Source organism: Homo sapiens, chromosome 5 (genome assembly GCF_000001405.40).
Source record: "Homo sapiens chromosome 5, GRCh38.p14 Primary Assembly".
Taxonomy (NCBI): domain Eukaryota; kingdom Metazoa; phylum Chordata; class Mammalia; order Primates; family Hominidae; genus Homo; species Homo sapiens.
The window spans coordinates 76816148-76839298 of NC_000005.10; the positions used below are offsets into that span (position 1 = coordinate 76816148).

A 23151-nucleotide genomic window follows, 5' to 3' on the forward strand; every position below is an offset into this window, starting at 1 on the left:
ACCCACTTCTGAGTTGCTAATGCGACAGATGGAGAATCAAGAGAAGAGTGGGCCTGGAAGCCAAGTGAATAGAGCATTCCAGAAAGAGGGAGAAATCAATCGTGTCCAATTCTACAGCTAGGCTGAGTAACTGAGAAAGGACTGAAAGAGGACCATAGGACTTACCATGTGGATTTCATTACTAACCTTGTCCAGAGTGAGTGCTCAATGAATCAGTGAATAAATGAGTGTAACTTTCTCCAACTATATTTGATTAGGACCCAGTAACTTGGGACTTTGTTTCTCCAGGAAGAGTTTGACAAATTATTTGAATGAAATACCTTTTCCCTCAATGTCTAAACTCCTCTTTGGAATTGTAGGTGGTGGAAGATTGCAGAAGGTTCCTAATCTCTGGAAGCCAGGCAGTCTAGTTGCCTGTGGTCATTTCTTTGTACTGTTCCACACAGCCATACAATACTCCAATCCCTTCAGGGCGAAGGAGTCATCAACACCTGAAAAACAAATACTATACTCCCAAAATTACAGAAAAACACCTGCAAACTGACTCAAGTGAGTTTAGTTCATTTAGTCAGGCTGGGGGAAGAAACCACATTTTTGAGATAATTAACTCATAGCATTGTTCAATAAAGTCTTTTATTGGAAATTGTGATGATTCAAGGCATATTCCCATAAAATACAGTGAAAATTTAAATCGAAAGCAGCTGGACCCTGATGTATTGTTCTCTGAAAGAGGAAGATTCCACCTTAAAGGCAGTCATTCTATAGCAGTTCCCATTTCTTAGGTGCTTACTATATACCAGAAACGGTACTAAGAAGTGCTTTATGGACATTTAGCAAAGTGAATCCTCACAACCACCCTACGAGAGAGGTACTAGTATCATTCCCAGATGATAGATGTAATATTAATAAGCTACAGATGAGGAAATGGATGCTTGAAAAGTTTGAAGGGACATCTTAGGAATCAGTTATCTCCCCTGGGGAGGGACCTTCAGGAATGGCCTGATCCCTATCAGGAGAGCTGTCCGCTGTTCAGGATGTCAAAGGTTCCTGTTCTGCTTCTAGAAGTCAGCTTTTCCTGGGAGGAAAAGTGGGCATGGGCTGAGGTGAGAGCTGGGGTGCAGGTGGAGTATGAAGACTCCTCAGAGAAAGGAAATAAACAAAAAATATTTATTGAGCTTCTACCATGTATCAAACCCAGTCACTAGTCACTATTTTATCCTCAGACAGACACCTATAAACCTTTAAACCACGTGTGTGTGTATATATATATATATTATAAGAAAGCTTAGAGAGGATAAGTAAACTTGGGATCACACAGATGTCAACAAGGGGAGAAGCCTGTCCGGGTGTGGTGGCTCATTCCTGTAATCCCAGCACTTTGGGAGGCTGAGTGGGGAGGATCACATGAAGCCAGGAGTTCCAGACCAGACTGGACAAGATAGGGAGACCCCACTTCTATTTTCTAATAGAAATTAAAATAAAAAATAAAGAAAATTTCTTTATACATTGAGCTGAAATTAAACCCCACTGTGGCTTCCACCAATTTTTGCTCTCTGGAGCAACTCAAAACACATCTAAATCCTCTTCTACAAGCGAATCCTTTAAATATTTGAAAATACCTATGTCTCTCTTCTGTGCTCTTCTGGTACCAATAGTTTAAATGGGTAACAGTAGACTTTGTTTTATTCAATCTTTTAAAAAGCAAATAAAAAGTAAGACATGCTGGGTGCGGTGGCTCACGCCTGTAATCGCAGCACTTTGGGAGGCGGAGGTGGGCTGATCACGAGGTCAGGAGTTCGAGACTAGCCAGACCAACATGGTGAAACCCCGCCTCTACTAAAAATACAAAAATTAGCCAGATGTGGTGCACGCCTGTAACTCCAGCTACTCGGGAGGCTGCGGCCAGAGAATTGCTTGAACCCAGGAGACAAAGTTTGCAGTGAGCCGAGATCACGCCACTGCACTCCAGCCTGGGAGACAGAGCGAGACTCCGTCTCAAAAACAAAAAGTAAGACATTACCAATATGATGCCAACCCTCATGCACTCATCCCCAACCCCACACTTCTCTTCTCCCACCCCTTCTATCTGCTTTTGTATTTATTTAGCCTATGGGATCCCAATGCAGAGGAGCCCTGGTGGACGCATTTATAGTGCAGCGATGAATAGAAGACAGTGATAGTCTTATACTGGAGTTGAAATGTGATAAACATTTATACACTGTGTTTATAAGTCGTGTAACTCTGGCCAATTTATCTGGTCTTTCTAAGCTCACTTTCCTCGTCTGTAAAATGGGAAGAATAATCATACTTATTGCGCTGGTTGTTATGGGGATTAAGCAAGATAATTCTCTAAAGCTTTGGCACTTGGCGCTGAAAGTAGCCATTCCATGTCTTCTTTCCCGCCCCGCCTCTTGTGCTCCCCACCGCTTTCGTGATGTCCGCAGTTGCCCACCTGCCTCTACAATAAAAAACGCATCCCTCCTCCTGCAGGGTCCACCGCACCGGGAAGCCCTGTCTGTATCAGTTACCAACCACAATTGCAGTGAGTACGAATCGTGGCTTTCCCACAGTCAGGAAAGGCAAGGGAGACCGACGACCCGCTTCTCTAGGAGTAAGTAAAGATTAAAGGTAGTTCGCGGTATAGCCTAGGCAGGGATTAACCCGTGGTCCCAGCGCTCCTGCTATTTGCATTCCAAAGCAGACACCTCATGCGCTCAACCCCGCCCGCAGGCGGCTCCCGCAGTCTAAGGGACCTGGCGCGAGTCCGGGAAGCGGAGGGCGCAGCTGCGCAGGGAAGGGGGCCGGGGGCGGGACCAGGGCGCGCGTTCCGGTCCCGGGGCGTGGCCTCCCGCAGGTGAGTACGCTGCTCCTTCGGTTTCCCTGAAACCTAACCCGCCCTGGGGAGGCGCGCAGCAGAGGCTCCGATTCGGGGCAGGTGAGAGGCTGACTTTCTCTCGGTGCGTCCAGTGGAGCTCTGAGTTTCGAATCGGCGGCGGCGGATTCCCCGCGCGCCCGGCGTCGGGGCTTCCAGGAGGATGCGGAGCCCCAGCGCGGCGTGGCTGCTGGGGGCCGCCATCCTGCTAGCAGCCTCTCTCTCCTGCAGTGGCACCATCCAAGGTGAGAAACCTGGCCAAGGAGGGCTCTTATCTCTGAGGAGCTGGGGTCCTGGGCACGCTGGGCAGACGGTGGGATCCGGGCAGGTGTGCGAAGGCTGTTCTGCTGCCGGCACCCATCTCTACGAATCCCTTAGCCTCCCCTTGGTGGCTTTGATGTGAGGTCTCTGCGCCAAGGAGGCACCCAGGTGGGACATGCGGGAGCAGCTGAAGTCAGCGGAGCCGGGCAGAGGCAGAGATTTCCCCAAAGACCCCACTTCCCGTAGAGGCTGTCATGCTGGGCACCTCCAGGCCCCAGCGTGGGTTCGGGGAAAGGGAGGGAAGGAAGGAGTAGCTGTGTCTAAAGGGTACGCAGAGGACCTAGTCCCCTCCCCGGGCTTGGTTGCTTTGTAAACACTAAGTCATTAAGAGCTTTTTGCCAACTCCGGAGACTTCCTCCGCTGGCCCCGCGGGGCCGGTGGGGTTAGCGAGCTGATTGCGCAGGGCAGGGCGGAGTGGGTGGGAACCCGCGGCCCGGGAGCCTTCTAGGTTGTTTTTTGCGTCCCTCTCCAACTGCTGGAAGCCTTTCTTCGGGTTCTGGCCCCTGCGTTCGAGACCCACCCGGGTCCCGCTGCTCCTGGCACCCACAGTGGAAGGCCCGGGGTATGAAAGTCAGGGCCGGTCCCTGATGGGTTCTGGTGGTAATGAGCGCTCAGGCCCGTTGGGCGCCACGAGGATTTACGAGCGGAACTTTTTGGACCCTGCCTTATATTTGACCAGTTGACCCTCTGGGCCTGGGGTTCCGGGACTTTCCTAGTGTGCCACCCGGAGCGGCCACTGGCTGCCACCCAGGTCTGCAGGCCAGAGGCTGGCTGGCCTGGGAACAGAGCAGCACTTGCGCCCGGCCGTCGCGTTCCTTGGATGTGCTGCTCCGGGTGTGCTCGAACTTGTATTGCTGGGAGTGTGTTCTTCCGGGCCCAGCAGGCCTCGCTGTGGCCGTGGGGGATGTTTGACCTGCGATCGCGCCACTGTGATCCTAACCGAGGCCCCTCTGTTTGGGGCAGCCTGGGTAGCAAAGGGAGCTTTTAATTTCCCTCAGAAATGCGCATTTCTCACTTTTATCCTCCTCTTCATAAAGACGAAGTAAAAGAGCAAGTCACAGTGGGTTGGAATTAGATGGAAGAATGTGATTCTTTTCCCTCTGCAGTTAGGGAAAAGGGTGTTAATGGTGTAAGCTTGAAAACTGTGCACCGCTGGTATATTTTTTTTTCTTAATCAGCATCAGAATAAAGGCATTTAGTTCCAGGAAGTATTGAAAACTGTAATGGACACCTCTCCTCTATGTCCTTTAAAGTTGGAAACTTAAAATTCAGGAGCAAAGGTTAGTATGTGCAAACTTTAAAAAAATACATGTTGGTATAGCTGATTCAACATCTTTATGATTCAGAGATCCCTGTAGGAAGCATGCCCCGATTATTTGTCTTGTTCTTGTTTACTACTCTTGGGGGATTGGGAGATCCCTGGATTATAAGGCGAACTTGATTTAACAATAAGGAAAAATCAGGTTACTTGTTAACTATAGCCACTTAATATTGCACCTTGTTCCTCATCCTCCCCCCACCATACTTTTATTCCCTTGCAAAGTAACTTTCCCAAAGGGTTAGTGAAGTAACACTGACAATTGATTTAGGCAGATGGAGCTTTCCTCCCACCTTAAAACTAAATTGATTTTAATAAGAAATACAGTGTTAGCAAAGCTTTTCTGCCCTCAGGGTGGGTCTTTGCTCACTCGCTTTTTAGCCGGTCCTTCTGCGTGCCCCTCAGGTGGCTGCAGGGCCGATTTGGGGTTTGATTTTCTTCCCAAAGCCTCACTCCAAAAGACTGCCTCATAGAAACGAACTCAGCCGAGATCACAACCTTCTCAGGGTACAGGTGAAGGACACTGAATTGAGGAGGCAAGGCAAGGAAAACACTTGGAAATCAGGGCTTCTCTTTCCCTTTACAATAGTAATTGATAATTATTTGGGTAAACATGCTTAATATGTGTCCTCACTGCATCGTTAACTCCTGGAGGCAGGGGGCCCTACCATCCTTTCCATCACGTCTAGCATAGTCTCATCACCTACGGGACCTCAGTAAATAGCAAATGAATGAAGTGAGGAGTCTTGCCCAGAGTACCCTGGCTGGTCCATGTGGTGTTCATTTCAGTCAGCTTCTCTCTGCCACTTACTTATTTTTTTCCACCATGTTACAGGCCTAGGTCATTCCATTTATCTTTTGGAGACTGGAACTTCTGTTTTCTTTATAATTGGTTTGGTGGTTTTTTTTTGTTTTTTTGGTTTTTTGGGTTTTTTTTTTTTTTGACTCTCATTCGGTTGCCCAGGCTTGAGTGCAGTGGTGCAATTTTGGCTCATTGCAACCTCCACCTCTCCCGGGCTCAAGGAAGTCTCCTGCTGCAGCCTCCCGAGTAGCTGGGACGACAGGCACGCACCACCACCCCCAGCTAATTTTTGTATTTTTAGTAGAGACAGGGTTTCACCATATTGGTCAGGCTGATCTCAAACTCCTGACCTCAGGTGATCCACCCACCTTCAGCCTCCCAAAGTGCTGGGATTACAGGCATGAGCTACTGCGCCCTACCTATAATTGTTTTTTAAATTATAAAAACAATATGTGATCACTCGAGGGAAAAATGAGCCAAAACAAAAAAAGGAAACATTTAATTAAATCACCCTGAACTTCAGTACCAAAGTAGCCACCGCTAATATTTCGGCTTATATATTTTCCCACTCTTTATTACATCCATGCACAAAATATGTATTCACAAATACAGAAAATATGTTTGTGCAAGTATGGGATTATATAAGCACATCAGTATCATGTCAATACATATAAAACATTTTTAATGACTCCAAAATGTTACAGAAGGATGCATCAATTTTAAAATTAGTCCTTTGTTGATAGACATGTGGTATTTCCATTTTTTTTTTCCCCCTGAGATAGAATCTCACTCTGTTGCCCAGGCTGTAGTGCAGTGGCACGATCTCGGCTCACTGCAACCTCTGCCTCCCAGGTTTAAGTGATTCTCATGCCTCAGCCTCTGGAGTAGCTGGGACTACAGGCGCACACCACCACATCCAACTAATTTTTGTGTTTTTGGTATAAACGGGGTTTCGCCACGTTGGCCAGGCTGATCTTGAACTCCTGACCTCAAGTGATCCACCTGCCTCAGCCTCCCAAAGTGCTGGGATTATAGGCATGAGCCACCGTGCCTGGCCAAAGTTTTGTAATATGACAGAACACTGCAATGAACTGGAAGATAGGACTTTAAATTTGATCCTTTTGCTTGCTTTGTAGTTACTAAATAACCTTGATAGATGATGTTTTAGTAAATCTGTATTTGACTTTCTTATGGTTTTATTAGCTTGGCAAGTGTTGAAGAAAACAGTTCATTCTGAAAGAACACTTCTGAAAATGTACTAAAAGTTTAGCTAGGGAGGGGCACCCCACAATTGAAACCTTTATTTTTCAGTCTGTGCTCCCAAAGATTGGGAGCAAAAAAGGACATTTGGGGTGAGGGGATCATAGAGAAGAGAGGGTGAAAGGAAGAGAACTAATGCAAGTAAAGTGCTTGTTTTACACTTGGTTTGATGGGGAGGTTGGGCCACAAGAGGAGTATACTTAAAATAAAAATTAAATTAAAAGTTTTAGGCCAAGCGTGGTGGCTCACGCCTGTAATCCCAGCACTTTGGAAGTCAAGGCGGGTGGATCACAAGGTCAGGAGATCAAGACCATCCTGGCTAACATGGTGAAACCCTGTCTCTACTAAAAATACAAAAAATTAGCCGGGCATGGTGGCGGGCGCCTGTAGTCCCAGCTGCTTGGGAGGCTGAGGCAGGAGAATGGCGTGAACCCGGGAGGTCGAGCTTGCAGTGAGCCGAGATCGTGCCTCTGCACTCCAGCCGGGGCAACAGAGTGAGACTCAGTCTCAAAAAAAAAAAAAAGTTTTACACGCAGATTTTCCCAAAATTGTGTAAATCAGAAGGGTCTAAAAAAAAGTGAAAATCTCTCATTCTTTCTGGTCTCCAATCTCAGCACAACTTCTCGGGTTTTGTTTGTTTGGTTGGTTGGTTTTTTTTTTTTTTTTTTGAGATGGAGTCTCGCTGTGTCGCCCAGGCTGGAGGGCTGGAGTGCAGTGATGTGATCTCAGCTCACTGCAACCTGCGCTTTCCAGGTTGAAGTGATTCTCCTGCCTCAGCCTCTCAAGTAGATGGGATTACAGATGCGCGCCAACACCTCCAGCTAATTTTTGCATTTTTAGTAAAGCCAGAATTTTGCCATGTTGGCCAGGCTGGTCTTGAATTCCTGACCTCAAGTGATCCGCCCGCCTTGGCCTCCCAAAGTGCTGGGATTATAGGTGTGAGTCACTATTCCTGGCCATCAGCTCAACTTCTCTATGCACAAATGATTTATAGGAATAGAAGGAGCATACCGTACTGTACATACTGTGCTATGATTTATTTATCTTTTTTACCTAATCGATTCATAGTCAGTTTATAGAAATCTGTACAAACTTTTTTTTTTTTTTTTTGAGACGGAGTCTTGCCGTGTCGCCCAGGCTGGAGTGAAGGGGCGCTATCTCAGCTCGCTGTAAGCTCTGCCTCCCGGGTTCATGCCATTCTCCTGCCACAGCCTCCCAAGCAGCTGGGACTACAGACGCCCGCCACCATGCCCGGCTAATTTTTTGTATTTTTAGTAGAGACAGGGTTTAACCGTGTTAGCCAGGATGGTCTCGGTCTCCTGACCTCGTGACCCACCTGCCTCGGCCTCCCAAAGTGCTGGGATTACAGGCGTGAGCCACTGCGCCGACCCTGTACAAACTTTTATAGGGGGGTAATTGAACTAGTCCTCCCCACCACACCCCCCCCCCCTTTTTTTTTTAAAGAGACTGGGTCTGGCTGTCACCCAAGCTGGAGTGCAGTGGCAGGATCATAGCTCACCCCCAGCTAATTTTTTTTTTAGACGGAGCTCCCAAGTAGCTGGGGCTATGGCTAGGTTGCCACTATGCCTGGCCTGAACTACTCCCCTCTTCCCGCCCATCCCCGAACCCCAGATGAAGTCTTGCTCTGTCACCCAGGCTGGAGTGCAGTGGTGTGATCTCAGCTCACTGCAACCTCCGCCTCCCAGGTTCAAGCCTCCCAGGTTCAGCCTCCCAAGTAGCTGGGATTACAGGTGCCCGCCACCACACCCAGCTAATTTTTGTATTTTTAGTAGAGACGGGGTTTCACCATGTTGGCCACGCTGATCTCAAACTCCCGATCTCATGATCCGCCCGCCTTAGCCTCCCAAAGTGCTGGGTTTACAGGCGTGAGCCACCCTGCCAGGGCCTGAACTACTCCCCTTTTTGATAGATGTTGAAATTAACATTGTTTTACCATGCTAAACAATGTTCCAGTGAATATTCTAGTACATAAAATAGCTTTGTGCACTTTAGCTGGTAGGTGCAGGGCAAATTCCTAGAAGTAAATTGCTAGGTCATATGGCAAATACATTTAAAATTTTGATATGTTTTGCCAAATTACCCACCAAAAATATTATATCAATTTATATTCCTTTGAGATACAAAATTCAAATAATATAGAGAGGTGTAAAATAAAAAGAAAAGTTCTCTTGTCCCCAGCTATTCTACTCCACAGAGCCAGCCACTTTTTATTGTTTGGTGGATATCCTTCTAGACTTCAGATTTTGCAAATTGTACATTATAATTTTTTTTTTTTTTTTTTTTTGAGACAGAGTCTCACTCTGTTGCCAGGCTGAAGTGCAGTGGCATGATCTCGGCTCACTGCAACCTCTGCCTTCTGGGTTCAAGCGATTCTCCTGCCTCAGCCTCTGGAGTAGCTGGGACTACAGGCGCGTGCACTACACTTAGCTAATTTTTGTATTTTTTAGTAGAGATTGGGTTTCACCATGTTGGTCAGGATGGTCTCGATCTCTTGATCTCAGGATCCACCCGCCTCGGCCTCCCAAAGTGCTGGGATTACAGGTGTGAGCCACCATGCCTGGCCAGTTTCTTTTTTCAATTGACTGTATATTGTGGCTGTCTTTCCATTTCAATATTATTGGCTACTATATTGTCTACCCTTAGTAGTAGGGACTACGTCAGGGACATGCTAAGTTAGGAATAGAAATAAGGAGCTGTTTGTCTGTAACTGAGTGGGGGGATGCTGCCTTGAGCATCTGTGAGTGTGTATTTTCACACACTTGGGCAATAATTGTTTATTACAGCCCTAGAAATGGGAATGTAATTGTAGCCAGGCACTTTATTTGTGTTTAAACTTCATTTGTGCATTTAGTCTCTCCTCAACTCTGTGAAATAGAAATGATTTTACCTGGTTGACAATTGGGAGCTGGGATAGCATCGGTTCTCTAGACAAGCTCTGTGAGTTTTGGTGAGTGGTAAGGACCCTGTACAGAGTCAGAGCAAATGCACTGGGCAAGGGCTTCAGGGACCTTCGAGTAGCATCTTGACATTTACCAGTGTTATAGAACAGTTAATATCAACAATAGTTTTGATGGAGACCATTAAAGGTTATGTGTTGAAATATTCTAAGAAAAAGTTCCTTTTTAAAAAAAAATTGTTATATTGCCATTCCTTGCTCCTTTTTTGGTCTTTATTTTAGCATTCTTATTTAAAACAGATTTTGAGCACTCTTTATGTGAGCTTTCCTGACTTGGTACATGCTTATTTTTATGGAGAATTTTAATCTTATAGAAATATACTATTATAGTGAATTAAGTGTATCCACCACTCAACTTCAATAATTATTAACTGTTGGCTAATCTTGTTTCATCTATTCCCAAACTCACCTCCCACTCCTCTTCCCTGTTATTTCTTTTCTGTTTTTTTCCCTTTCCTATGATGCCAAGCCTGTGTTTTTTTTTTAACAGCTTTACCAAGAATTCCATATCAGATAATTTGCACACCATACAATTCACCCCTTTAAACTGTACAATTTAGTGGCTTTTAGGATGTTCATAGAATTATTCAACCATTACCACAATTTTAGAACATTTTTATTACCCTGGAAGAAACAGTTTAGCTGTCATTCACCAATCTTCTGGTCTTAGCCCTTGGCAAACACTAATCTACTTTCTATTTATGGATTTGCCTATTGTAGACATTTGATAGAAATGGGATAATGTGTTGTCCTCTGTGACTGGCTTCTTTCACTTAGCATAATCTTTTGGAGATTCATCCATGTATCTATGTATCAGTACTTTTTTTTTTTTTTGAGACAGAGTCTTGCTCTGTCACCCAGGCTGGAGTGCAGTGGTGCAATCTCTGCAACCTTTGCCTCTAGTTTCAAGTGATTCTCCTGCCTCAGCCTCCTGAGTAGTTGGGACTGTGGGCCCACACCACCACCTCTGGCTAATTTTTGTATTTTTAGTAGAGACTGGGTTTCACCATGTTGGCCAGGCTGGTCTTGAGCTCCTGACCTCAGGTGATCTGCCTGCCTCAGCCTCCCAAGTACTTGATTTTTGAAAACAGCCAAATAATATTCCATTGTATGGATATACTGCTTTTTATTTCTTTTCAATTGTTGATGGACATTTGGATTGTTTCCACTTTTTTTTCCTTTTTTTGAGACAGGGTCCTGCTCTGTTGCCCAGGCTGGAGTGCAGTGGTGTAATCTCTGACCTCCTAGGTTCAAGCTGTCCTCCTGCCTCAGCCTTCCTAGTAGTGGGACTACAAGTGTGCACCACTATGCCTGGCTAATTTTGTAAAATGTTTGTAGAGATGGGGTTCTGCTCTGTTGCCCAGGCTTGTCTCAAATTCCTGGCCTCAAGCACTTCTCCCATCTCATCCTCCCAAAGTGATAGGATTACAGGTGAGCACCACTGTGCCCAGCCCACTTGTTGACTGTGGGCTGGGCACAGTGCTATATTATAATGCTGCTATGGCTGGGCGTGGTGGCTCACGCCTGTAATCCCAGCACTTTGGGAGGCCGAGGTGGGCGGATCACAAGGTCAGGAGATCGAGACCATCCTGGCTAACACTGTGAAACCCCATCTCTACTAAAAATACAAAAAAAAAAAAAAAAAAAAAAAATTAGCCAGGCGTGGTGGCAGGCGCCTGTAGTCCCAGCTACTGGGGAGGCTGAGGCAGGAGAATGGCATGAACCCGGGAGGCGGAGCTTGCGGTGAGCCGAGATCGCGCCACTGCACTCCAGCCTGGGCGACAGCGAGACTCCGTCTCAAAAAAAAAACAAAAACAAATAATGCTGCTATGAACATTTGTGTACAGGTTTTTGTGTGGACTCCTGCATACCTGGGAGTGGAGCTACTGGGTCATATAGTAACTTTTTTTTTTTTTTTTTTTTTTGAGACGGAGTCATGCTCTGTTGCCCAGAGTGCAATGGCACAGTCTAGGCTCACTGCAACCTCCGCCTCCCAAGTTCAAATGATTCTCCTGTCTCAGCTTCCCGAGTAGCTGGGACTATAGGCGTGTGCCACCACACCCAGCTAATTTTTGTATTTTTAATAGAGATGGGGTTTCACCATGTTAGCCAGGTGGGCTCAAAACCCCGACCTCGTGATCTGCCTGCCTCAGCCTCCCAAATTGCTGGGATTACAGGCGTGAGCCACTGCGTCCAGCCATATAGGAACTCTTTAACCATTTGAGGAACTGCCAGATAATTTCCCACAATAACTGTACCTTTTATTTTATTTTATTTTATTTATTTTAAATAGACATGGTTTCACTCTGTCGCCCAGGCTGGAGTGCAATGGCGTGATCTTGGCTCATTGCAACCTGTGCCTCCCGGTTCAAATGATTCTCCTGTCTCACCCTCCCAAGTTGCTGGGATTATAGGTGTATGCCACCACACCTGACTAATTTTTGTATTTTTAGTAGAGATGGGGTTTCACCATGTTGGCCAGGCTGGTCTCGAACTCCTGACCTCAGGTGATCCACCCACCTCGGCCTCCAATAGTGCTGGGATTAGAGGTGTGAGCTACTCTGCCCAGCCGTGCACCAGTTCGTATTCCTACCAGCAGTGTCTGAGAGTTTCAATTCCTGTGGTTGTGAAATAAATCTCAGATATAATTTCATCCTAAAGTATTTTAGAATGTATTAATAAAGTATGAGGGATTTCTTTTTCAAATATAAACATAATGCCATTATAGTATCTACTAACATTAATTTTTAATATAATCAAATATTCAGTCAGTATTCAAATTTCTTTCTTTTTTTTTTTTTTTTAATATAGAGACAGGGGCCTCACTCTGTCACCCAGAGTGGAGTGCAGTGGCACAATCTCACTGAATCATTGAACTCCTGGTCTCAAGTGATCTTCCTGTTTCAACTTTCCAAGTATCCAGGACTACAGGTGTGCGCCACCATGCCTGGCTAATTTTTTTTTTTTTTAATTTTTTGTAGAGACACGGTCTTGCTATGTTGGCCAGGCTGGTCTCAAACTCTTGGCCTCGAGCAATCCTTCCACGTCAGCCTCGCAAAGCACTGGGATTATAGGCATGAACAACCGTGCCTGGCTTTGTGTTCAAATTTCTAATTGTCTTATAAATGTTATTTTAGGCCGGGTGCAGTGGCTCATGCCTGTAATTCCAGCACTTTGGGAGGCTCAGGTGGGCAGATCACTTGAGATCAGGAGTTCGAGACCAGCTTGACCAACATGGTGAAACCCCATCTCTACTAAAAATACAAAAATTAGCTGGATGTAGTGGTGTGCACCTGTAATCCCAGCTCCTTGGGAAGCTGAGGCAGGAGAATTGCTTGAACCTGGGAGACGGAGGTTGCAGTGAACCAAGATCGCACCACTGCACTCCAGCCTGGGCGACAGAGTAAGACTCCATCTCAAAAAAAAAAACAAGTTATTTTTATGGTTTGTTTGAATCAGGATTGAAACAAGGTACACACATTATATGACTGATATGTCTTTTAAATCTTCTACTCTATAAATTTCACCTCCACACCTTTTTTTTACCTTTGTTCTTCTTCTTCTTCTTTTTTTTTTTTTTGAAGAGATGGCATTGTGCTATGTTGCCCTGGCTGGTCTTGAACTCCTGGTCTCAATCAATCCTCCTGCTTTGGCCTCTCAAAGTGCTGGGTATTGAAGGCATGAGGCACTGTGCCTGGCCCTCTTTCTTATTTTTTGCCTTATAATTTATATTTTGTAAAAAACAGGTCCTTTATCCTGTAGCAGTTCCCAGAGTCTCAATTTTACTGACTACATTTGTGGTGTTGTTTAACACTTTGCCCCCTTCATTTCCATTAATTTGGTGTTGGATAATTTCCACAATAACTGCACCAGTTGCTCAGTCTATAACACTAATCAAGCACTGAATCCAACACCAAATTAATTTCCAGTATGTTACTTTCTAATTGTTACATACATTGTCATTCTAAGTTAAGTGGCCTGTGAAATCAGTGTTAAAGAATAATAACTGGCTTTTTATAATAATGGAATAGAATACAATAGAAAGTATCAGTGCACCCTATGTAATAAGAATAATTATTATTTTGTGAAACGTTTTTCCACCATGGATATGTGTATTGGGAACTGGGTTAGTATGTGGAATATGGTTCTTAGGGGTTATGGTCAAATATTTGAAGAACACTGTAATATGTAGGAATTTTTTTTAAATTTAAAAACAACATATGTTCTTTTTGAAGAATTATATAAAAAAAATAGAACCACTAGAAATAGGACTATCCTAAGCATATTAGTTTCTTGTGGCTACCATAGCAAATTGCCATAAACTGATGATGTAAAACAACACATTTATTCTGTCAGTTCTGGAGACCAGAAGTCTGAAATCAAGGAATTGGGGCCACAAGCCCTCCAAAAGCTCTAAGGGAGAGTCCATTCCTTGCCTTTTCCAGCTTGCAGTGGCTGCTGGCATTTCTTGGCATTCTTGGCCTGTTCCTTGATGTGACTCCAATCTCTGCCTCCATTCTCATGTCACTCACTCCTCTGGCTTCTCCTTTTCTGCGTGTTGCAGATCTCTTTCTGCTTTTCTCTCTGTTTTGTTGTTTGATACAGACTTTAACTCTGTCGCCCAGGCTGGAGTGCAGTGGCGCAATCTTGGCTCACTGCAACCTCCGCCTCCCAGGTTCAAGCAATTCTCCTGCCTCAGCCTCCCAAGTAGCTAGAACTACAGGCGCCTGCCACCACGCCCGGCTAATTTTTGTATTTTTAGTAGAGACAGGGTTTCACTATGTTGGCCAGGCTTGTCTTGAACTTCTGACCTCGTGATCCACCCACCTCAGCCTCCCAAAGTGCTGGGATTACAGGCGTGAGACACCACGCCAGGCCTCTGCCTTTATCTTAGAAACGACACTTGTCATTGGATTTAGGGCCCGCCTAGATAACCCAGGGAGATCTTCTTATCTTAGGATCCTTAATTCTATCTGCAAAGACATTTTTGCTAAATAATGTTCACAGAGTCTGGCGATTAGGACATAGACTTCTCTTTTGGGGGCACCACCTTTCAACCCACTACACTAAGTGAAAAGTGAAATATTGATCTCTACATCCCCCAACACTCCACCCAGGCTAGCATCCCAAATAGGGAAGCATTAAGATGTGAAAAATTCTGCGGAACATTAGTGTAAAGCTTCTAGTGGAAAAATGATGACCAAGCATAACATTATGAGATAAGAGCATGAGTAGGTTTAATATCCCCCTGGTATACGGCAGTGCAAGTATTGCCCTGTCTTCTCTGCTTGGTGAGGCCTACTTTTCCCCAGAATTAGAGTAAAATTATTCAGTATCCTTATATTGTCCTTACTTACTCCTGCAGGTTCATGAATACTTAGGGGCAGAATGTAGGGAGGACATGCCATTCATTTCTTTGTGGTTTTTAGGTCAACTTCATAATATAAGAGAGGGATAATAAGTTAGCTTGTCATGCTACATGCTTGAAAGTCTGTCATCAGTACAGCCACCTATCCAGGCCAGACGGTTTCCCTGCCAGTTGGCCTCCATGGGACATTCTCCAGGAAACCAGCACATGAGCAGGGAAAATCCCTGCCATTGTTGAGGCTATCGTTGTGGGTGAAAAGGGAATGTCCCTTGTGGTCCTGGAATCTCCCTGTGGCAAGCTCTGAATAGGGTATGATGAATTGAATAGGCCAGGAAGGATCCTGGCTCAGGGCTAGAGTGGGATAGAAGGCCATTATGAAGTGAGAAATTAGAAAACTGGTGTCAGGATGGGGATCGCTATTTTACACACTTGAGAATTTAGAAAGGAATTACTGCACATTCCTAAACTGATTTTTTTTTTTTTTTTTTGACTGAGGCTCGCTCTGTCACCCAGGCTGAAGTGCAGTGGCATGATCTTGGATCACTGCAACCTCCACTTCCGGGGTTCAAGCGATTCTTCTGCCTCAGCCTCCCAAGTAGCTGGGATTACAGGCGCCTGCGCCTGGCTAATTTTTGTATTTTTAACAGAGTCAGGGTTTCGCCATGTTAGCCAGGCTGGTCTGAAACTCCTGACCTCAGGTGATCCACCTGCCTTAGCCTCCCAAAGTGCTGAGATTACACGCATGAGCCACCATGCCCAGCCAAACCAAATTTTACTAATTGATAAATCAAAGGACTGTTGTTGGTCATGTGATAAGAATAGCTAGAGCTGGGCGTGATGTCTCACACCTGTAATTCCAGCACTTTGGGAGGCCAAGATGGGAGGATCACTTGAAGCCAGGAGTTCGAGACCAGCTTAGTCAACATAGCAAGACCCCATCTCTAAAAAAAAAAAAAATAATAAGTAAAATAAAAAGAATAGCTGGGGACTAATGAGTGTGGACAGTTTGTAAAAATAAATTGAAATATTGTTAGTCTTCTTTATATTCCTAGAAATCGATGCTCCACATGCATCCCACAACTCCTTACAACTCCCCGATACAAAAATACTCACTGTAAGAAAAAAACCCATAAAACCAAACTAAACCAGACAATAGAAATCCCAATAATCTCATTACACAAAGAAAAGCCCCTATAAGCATTTTGTGTAATCCTCTAATAGTACATTTCTGTTTTCATCTAAAGTACTTTCATTTGAGGCTGGGCTCAGTGGCTCACACTTGTATCTCACCACTTTGGGAGGCTGAGGCAGGAGAATCTTAAGGCCAGGAGTTTGAGAACAGCCTGGGCAACATAGTGAGATCCTATCTCTACAAAAAGTAAAAAATTAGCTGGGTGTGATGGTGTGTGCCTGTGGCCTGGCTGTTTAGGAGGATTGCTTGAGCCCAAAAGTTTGAGGCTGCGGTGCATTATGATCGCTCCACTACGCTCCAGCCTGGGTGACAGCGAGACCCTGTCTCATAAATTAAAAAATGAATAAATGAATGTACTTTCATTTGAACAAACCAGTGTTACTGCTGAAACATTTATTTCTGTAATGACCCTTGTCTTCCTTTCTTGTACAGGAACCAGTAGATCCTCTAAAGGAAGAAGCCTTATTGGTAAGGTTGATGGCACATCCCACGTCACTGGAAAAGGAGTTACAGTTGAAACAGTCTTTTCTGTGGATGAGTTTTCTGCATCTGTCCTCACTGGAAAACTGACCACTGTCTTCCTTCCAATTGTCTACACAATTGTGTTTGTGGTGGGTTTGCCAAGTAACGGCATGGCCCTGTGGGTCTTTCTTTTCCGAACTAAGAAGAAGCACCCTGCTGTGATTTACATGGCCAATCTGGCCTTGGCTGACCTCCTCTCTGTCATCTGGTTCCCCTTGAAGATTGCCTATCACATACATGGCAACAACTGGATTTATGGGGAAGCTCTTTGTAATGTGCTTATTGGCTTTTTCTATGGCAACATGTACTGTTCCATTCTCTTCATGACCTGCCTCAGTGTGCAGAGGTATTGGGTCATCGTGAACCCCATGGGGCACTCCAGGAAGAAGGCAAACATTGCCATTGGCATCTCCCTGGCAATATGGCTGCTGATTCTGCTGGTCACCATTCCTTTGTATGTCGTGAAGCAGACCATCTTCATTCCTGCCCTGAACATCACGACCTGTCATGATGTTTTGCCTGAGCAGCTCTTGGTGGGAGACATGTTCAATTACTTCCTCTCTCTGGCCATTGGGGTCTTTCTGTTCCCAGCCTTCCTCACAGCCTCTGCCTATGTGCTGATGATCAGAATGCTGCGATCTTCTGCCATGGATGAAAACTCAGAGAAGAAAAGGAAGAGGGCCATCAAACTCATTGTCACTGTCCTGGCCATGTACCTGATCTGCTTCACTCCTAGTAACCTTCTGCTTGTGGTGCATTATTTTCTGATTAAGAGCCAGGGCCAGAGCCATGTCTATGCCCTGTACATTGTAGCCCTCTGCCTCTCTACCCTTAACAGCTGCATCGACCCCTTTGTCTATTACTTTGTTTCACATGATTTCAGGGATCATGCAAAGAACGCTCTCCTTTGCCGAAGTGTCCGCACTGTAAAGCAGATGCAAGTATCCCTCACCTCAAAGAAACACTCCAGGAAATCCAGCTCTTACTCTTCAAGTTCAACCACTGTTAAGACCTCCTATTGAGTTTTCCAGGTCCTCAGATGGGAATTGCACAGTAGGATGTGGAACCTGTTTAATGTTATGAGGACGTGTCTGTTATTTCCTAATCAAAAAGGTCTCACCACATACCATGTGGATGCAGCACCTCTCAGGATTGCTAGGAGCTCCCCTGTTTGCATGAGAAAAGTAGTCCCCCAAATTAACATCAGTGTCTGTTTCAGAATCTCTCTACTCAGATGACCCCAGAAACTGAACCAACAGAAGCAGACTTTTCAGAAGATGGTGAAGACAGAAACCCAGTAACTTGCAAAAAGTAGACTTGGTGTGAAGACTCACTTCTCAGCTGAAATTATATATATACACATATATATATTTTACATCTGGGATCATGATAGACTTGTTAGGGCTTCAAGGCCCTCAGAGATGATCAGTCCAACTGAACGACCTTACAAATGAGGAAACCAAGATAAATGAGCTGCCAGAATCAGGTTTCCAATCAACAGCAGTGAGTTGGGATTGGACAGTAGAATTTCAATGTCCAGTGAGTGAGGTTCTTGTACCACTTCATCAAAATCATGGATCTTGGCTGGGTGCGGTGCCTCATGCCTGTAATCCTAGCACTTTGGGAGGCTGAGGCAGGCAATCACTTGAGGTCAGGAGTTCGAGACCAGCCTGGCCATCATGGCGAAACCTCATCTCTACTAAAAATACAAAAGTTAACCAGGTGTGTGGTGCACGTTTGTAATCCCAGTTACTCAGGAGGCTGAGGCACAAGAATTGAGTATCACTTTAACTCAGGAGGCAGAGGTTGCAGTGAGCCGAGATTGCACCACTGCACTCCAGCTTGGGTGATAAAATAAAATAAAATAGTCGTGAATCTTGTTCAAAATGCAGATTCCTCAGATTCAATAATGAGAGCTCAGACTGGGAACAGGGCCCAGGAATCTGTGTGGTACAAACCTGCATGGTGTTTATGCACACAGAGATTTGAGAACCATTGTTCTGAATGCTGCTTCCATTTGACAAAGTGCCGTGATAATTTTTGAAAAGAGAAGCAAACAATGGTGTCTCTTTTATGTTCAGCTTATAATGAAATCTGTTTGTTGACTTATTAGGACTTTGAATTATTTCTTTATTAACCCTCTGAGTTTTTGTATGTATTATTATTAAAGAAAAATGCAATCAGGATTTTAAACATGTAAATACAAATTTTGTATAACTTTTGATGACTTCAGTGAAATTTTCAGGTAGTCTGAGTAATAGATTGTTTTGCCACTTAGAATAGCATTTGCCACTTAGTATTTTAAAAAATAATTGTTGGAGTATTTATTGTCAGTTTTGTTCACTTGTTATCTAATACAAAATTATAAAGCCTTCAGAGGGTTTGGACCACATCTCTTTGGAAAATAGTTTGCAACATATTTAAGAGATACTTGATGCCAAAATGACTTTATACAACGATTGTATTTGTGACTTTTAAAAATAATTATTTTATTGTGTAATTGATTTATAAATAACAAAATTTTTTTTACAACTTATTTCTGAGTTGTGCGTTTGTTTTGAGGGAAGGAGTGAGAGAAGGCAGGCAACAGCTTCACCCCTCTAAAAGTGGACACTCACACCAAACTCTGTGACAACGGTTTTTCATTTAAAAATGTTTCAGAGGCCGGGCACAGTGGCACACGTGTGTAATCCCAGCACTTTGGGAGGCCAAGGTGGGTGGATCACCCGAGGTCAGGAGTTCAAGACCAGCCTGGCCAACATGGCAAGAGCCTGTCTCTATTAAAAATACGAAAATTAGCTGGGCGTGGTGGCAGACGCCTGTAATCCCAGCTACTCGGGAGGCTGAGGCAGGAGAATCGCGTGAACCCGGGAGGTGGAGGTTACGGTGAGCCGAGATTGCGCCATTGCACTCCAGCCTGGGCAACAGGAGCGAAACTCCGTCTCAAAAAAAAAAAAAAAGTTTTAGAATTCTTTCTATACCTGCATCTGTAGGTTGACCGCTTTTCAAGGATACAGGCTATTTAACATTTTGGGTATATTGTGATGTATTTAATTAATTCCCTACCAACGGCTCCTTAGGTTGTCATCCCCCCACCCTTCTTTTTTTGACTTTTAAAACAGTGCTGCACCCAGAAGTCCAGAGTCGCTGACAGGTCCTCTGTTATCTAGGTGTTCTCTTCAAGATTCCATTTGGTCATGCAGCCTTGGAGAAATAGGAATGGGATGGAACTTGCCGTGTTTATATTTAATCTCTTACCTTATATGCGTAGTGTTTCTTTTGAGTTGCGCATAAATATTCCATTTTTGTTTTCTACAAAAAAAAAAAAAAGTGCTGTATCAAATATCTGTATACAGACATCTGTGAGCATATTTTTTGAGGATAAGTTTCTAGAAGTAGAATGGCCAGCTCAAAAGTTAGATGCTCATTTTAGGTTTTGATAAGTCTTGCCAAATTGTCTTCAGTAATGTATATTTCTACCAAAATGGTATATTTGCACCTGTTTCCTGAAATGCTCATCCACATTCCATGCTATCAATCTTTGGTTTCCCAATCTTATTGTTGTTTTACTGAAGAAGCAGCACAGCCTGGTGGCTAAGAGTGCAGGTCCTGGGCTGTGCTGAATTCTGACTCCATCACTGCTTACATTAGGGATGTTTTTATTACCTCAAGAAGTAAGAAAAAAAATGCGACTCATTTGTCAAATGGGGATAGTAGTATCTCAGTTTCCTCACTTGTAAAATTAGGATAATAGTATCTTCCTCATAAAGTTATGAGAATAAAATTATTTGGCACGTTTATGTGGTCACAAATATTAAATAATATTATTATTATGCTCTGTGGACAAGACCTGTTTTCTGCTCTGCCCCCTTTCACTTCAGTGTCACTGCTTTCTTTGCCTGTTCTGCTTTGAGTCTGATTGCAGGCCTGTGAAGTTGTCCCCGTTTGTCAGGTGAGAAATGAGAAAATGGTGGGAACAGGATAAAAGGGAGCAGGAACAAATGGCTCACAGAGCCCCGAAGGCCATCTGTAGCTGACCTCCACCTCAGTGGAGAACATTTTTTTGGTGTTTGTCATTTCTTGGTTTTTTTTTTTTTTTTTTTTTTTTCTGGTGGGGGGTGGACAGGGTGTCGGTCTATTACCCAGGCTGGAGTGCAGTGGCTATTTCCACGTGTGATTCCACTACTGATCACTATGGGAGTTTTTCCTGCTGCATTTCCCTCCTGGGCTGGTTCACCCCTTCTTAGGCAACCTGGTGGTCCCCTTCTCCTTGGAGGTTACCATATTAATGCTGAACTTAGTGCAGACAATGATCAGCATAGCCCACTACAGCCTCACACTCCTGGATTCAAGTCATCCTCCTGCTTCAGCCTCCGTATTAGCTCGGGCCTACAGGAACATGCCAACACTCCTGGCTATAGTCTTTTTTTTTCTTTTTGTAACTATGCAAATCTCTTTTTTGTGGCTATACTTTAAGAATAAATGTGTATGAATGTGTGTACATACATATATACTTTAACTTCTAAATCAGTTTATATAAATTGTCCTCATAATTTTTTTAACTCATTCACTGTTTCTCATTAATTTATTTTTATTTTTTTTTTGGTAGAGACAGGGTCTTGCTATGTTACCCAGGCTGGTCTCAAACTGTTGAACTCCAGAGATCCTCCCTCCTCAGCCTCTCAAAATGCTGTGATTACAGGCATGAGTCACTGTGCCCTGCCTGTTTCTCATTATTTTTAATGACCAGGTAGTATTTCATGTATGAATGACCCAACATTTAGTCAGAAGTACCTATTAAAGAACAGATATTTTTCTTGGTTTATTTTCACCAAGCCTTTGAATCTACATTAAAAAGTACAAAAGAACCAGGCGCGGTGGCTCACGCCTGTAATCCCAGCACTTTGGGAGGCCGAGGCGGGCGGATCACGAGGTCAGGAGACTGAGACCATCTTGGCTAACATGGTGAAACCCTGTCTCTACTAAAAATACAAAAAATTAGCTGGGCGTGGTGGCGGGCGCCTGTAGTTCCAGCTACTTGGGAGGCTGAGGCAGGAGAATGGCATGAACCTGGGAAGTGGAGCTTGCAGTGAGCCAAGATCGGGACACTGCACTCCAGCCTGTGCGATAGAGCAAGACTCTGTCTCAAAAAAAAAAAAAAAAACTAAACAAAAAAGTATAAAAGAAATGATTTGAGAAATTAAAATTATTTGCTAAAGCAAAAGCTTATTTTTTTTTTGAGATGGAGTCTCGCTCTGTCATCCAGGCTGGAAGTGCAGTGGTGTGATCTCAGCTCATCGCAACCTCTGCCTTCCAGGTTCAAGTGATTCTCCTGCCTCAGCCTCCTGAGTAGCTGGGATTACAGGCGCCCGCCACCATGCCTGGCTAATTTTTTGTATTTTTAGTAGAGACGGGGTTTCACCAGGTTGGCCAGGCTGGTCTCGATCTCCTAACCTCAGGTGATCCACCCACCTTGGCCTCCCAAAGTACTGGGATTACAGGTGAGAGCCACCGCGCCTGGCCCAGCAAAAGCTTTTCAAATCGTTTTGTTCTGCCTTTGAAAAGTGGCTTAGAAAACCCCCTGGTCTATCTGAATTAGGCTCCTGATTGGAAGCATGAGGAACTCTGGCCCTAGCGGAGTAGTACCTTGGATGTGGTTGTCTTTGCTCTTGTGTTATATGTCATACTGTGGTCTAATTTCTCTAAACTGAGTCCTAAAATGTCTGAAAATGTAAATACTTTGAACTCCACAGGCTTATGTACTAACAGTGAGGCCTCTTAATTTGAAAGTGAACGAAGATTTGCAGTCCTGATGCTCAGGACAAAGGCCAGTGCTAAACTGACTCGGCTGGAGTTGTTTTATGGGCTTTTTCCTAACGTGTCACCTCAGTGGTTTGCAGCAGGAGTTTCAAACCTGTAATTAATTTCCTGGTTATCAAGGTTTCATAAACTTTAGGGCTATAATCTCATCAGTATGCATAGTTTAGTGATTACAACTTTGTTCCTGAAACATTAACCCTTTGGAGGCCCCTGAGAGGACTATAATTTATTGCAGAATCAAAGGTAGTACTTGCTGTCCTCCGGATCTTGATTAAAATGATAAGTTTTTGCTTGGGTGTTTAGATGTCTTCTCAAAAAGAAGTTTCTGATGTGGCCAGTCCTTTCCTGACCCCCAGTTCTGAAGACAAAAACCAAGCCCTTAGTGATCAGGGATCTAGCCCTACATTTTATTCAAGCCTTGGAACTTCACTGAGATGATTGTCCCACTTAAATGTCAACAATTAGAGTGACTCAGACCAACCTTGGAATGCCTCTCTGGAGGGACAGTTTGAAATATTCCGTGATTTGAGTATGAACTGCTCTTGCCTCTACCAGTGGGTCAATCTATGGACTGTTTCCCAGCCTTTGTCTTTATTGGTGAGAAATTAAGCCTGACCAGAGTTACAGACAACCTCCGGTAAAAACCACAGCCCAAGCCTGCGGGCCCATCAAGAACCCAGCAGCAGTGTGAGTGGTTCA

The 23151-nt window shown here is 44.4% G+C and overlaps 1 protein-coding gene and 1 pseudogene across 1 annotated transcript, besides 3 other annotated features; one reads left to right on the forward strand and one right to left on the reverse strand.

Moving 5' to 3' along the window:
• Nucleotides 2599–3216: an enhancer, noted in NCBI's record as "NANOG-H3K27ac hESC enhancer chr5:76114571-76115188 (GRCh37/hg19 assembly coordinates)". NCBI's record gives its function as "activates a minimal SCP1, AML or CMV promoter by ChIP-STARR-seq in naive H9 embryonic stem cells {active_cell/tissue: H9 hESC(naive)}" and the evidence as "EXISTENCE:reporter gene assay evidence [ECO:0000049][PMID:30033119]".
• Nucleotides 2617–2911: a silencer, noted in NCBI's record as "tiled region #11984; K562 Repressive DNase matched - State 4:PromP". NCBI's record gives its function as "represses a minimal TATA promoter and a strong SV40 promoter by Sharpr-MPRA in K562 cells {active_cell/tissue: K562}" and the evidence as "EXISTENCE:reporter gene assay evidence [ECO:0000049][PMID:27701403]".
• On the forward strand, nucleotides 2883–19168 carry F2RL1 (F2R like trypsin receptor 1). Its single transcript, NM_005242.6, has 2 exons — nucleotides 2883–3117; nucleotides 16543–19168. Exons 1-2 carry the CDS (start codon nucleotides 3036–3038, stop codon nucleotides 17652–17654), a joined length of 1194 nt encoding a protein of 397 aa, NP_005233.4. The 5' UTR covers nucleotides 2883–3035; the 3' UTR covers nucleotides 17655–19168.
• Nucleotides 3217–3834: an enhancer, noted in NCBI's record as "H3K27ac-H3K4me1 hESC enhancer chr5:76115189-76115806 (GRCh37/hg19 assembly coordinates)". NCBI's record gives its function as "activates a minimal SCP1, AML or CMV promoter by ChIP-STARR-seq in naive H9 embryonic stem cells {active_cell/tissue: H9 hESC(naive)}" and the evidence as "EXISTENCE:reporter gene assay evidence [ECO:0000049][PMID:30033119]".
• RN7SL208P (RNA, 7SL, cytoplasmic 208, pseudogene) lies at nucleotides 20753–21048 on the reverse strand (annotated as a pseudogene).

Coding starts and splice junctions, on each gene's coding strand:
- F2RL1 (NM_005242.6), top strand. CDS start 3,036: ATGCGGAGCCCCAGCGCGGCGTGGCTGCTGGGGGCCGCCATCCTGCTA. Junction 3,118..16,542: donor CTGCAGTGGCACCATCCAAG/GTGAGAAACCTG, acceptor TTTCTTGTACAG/GAACCAGTAGATCCTCTAAA.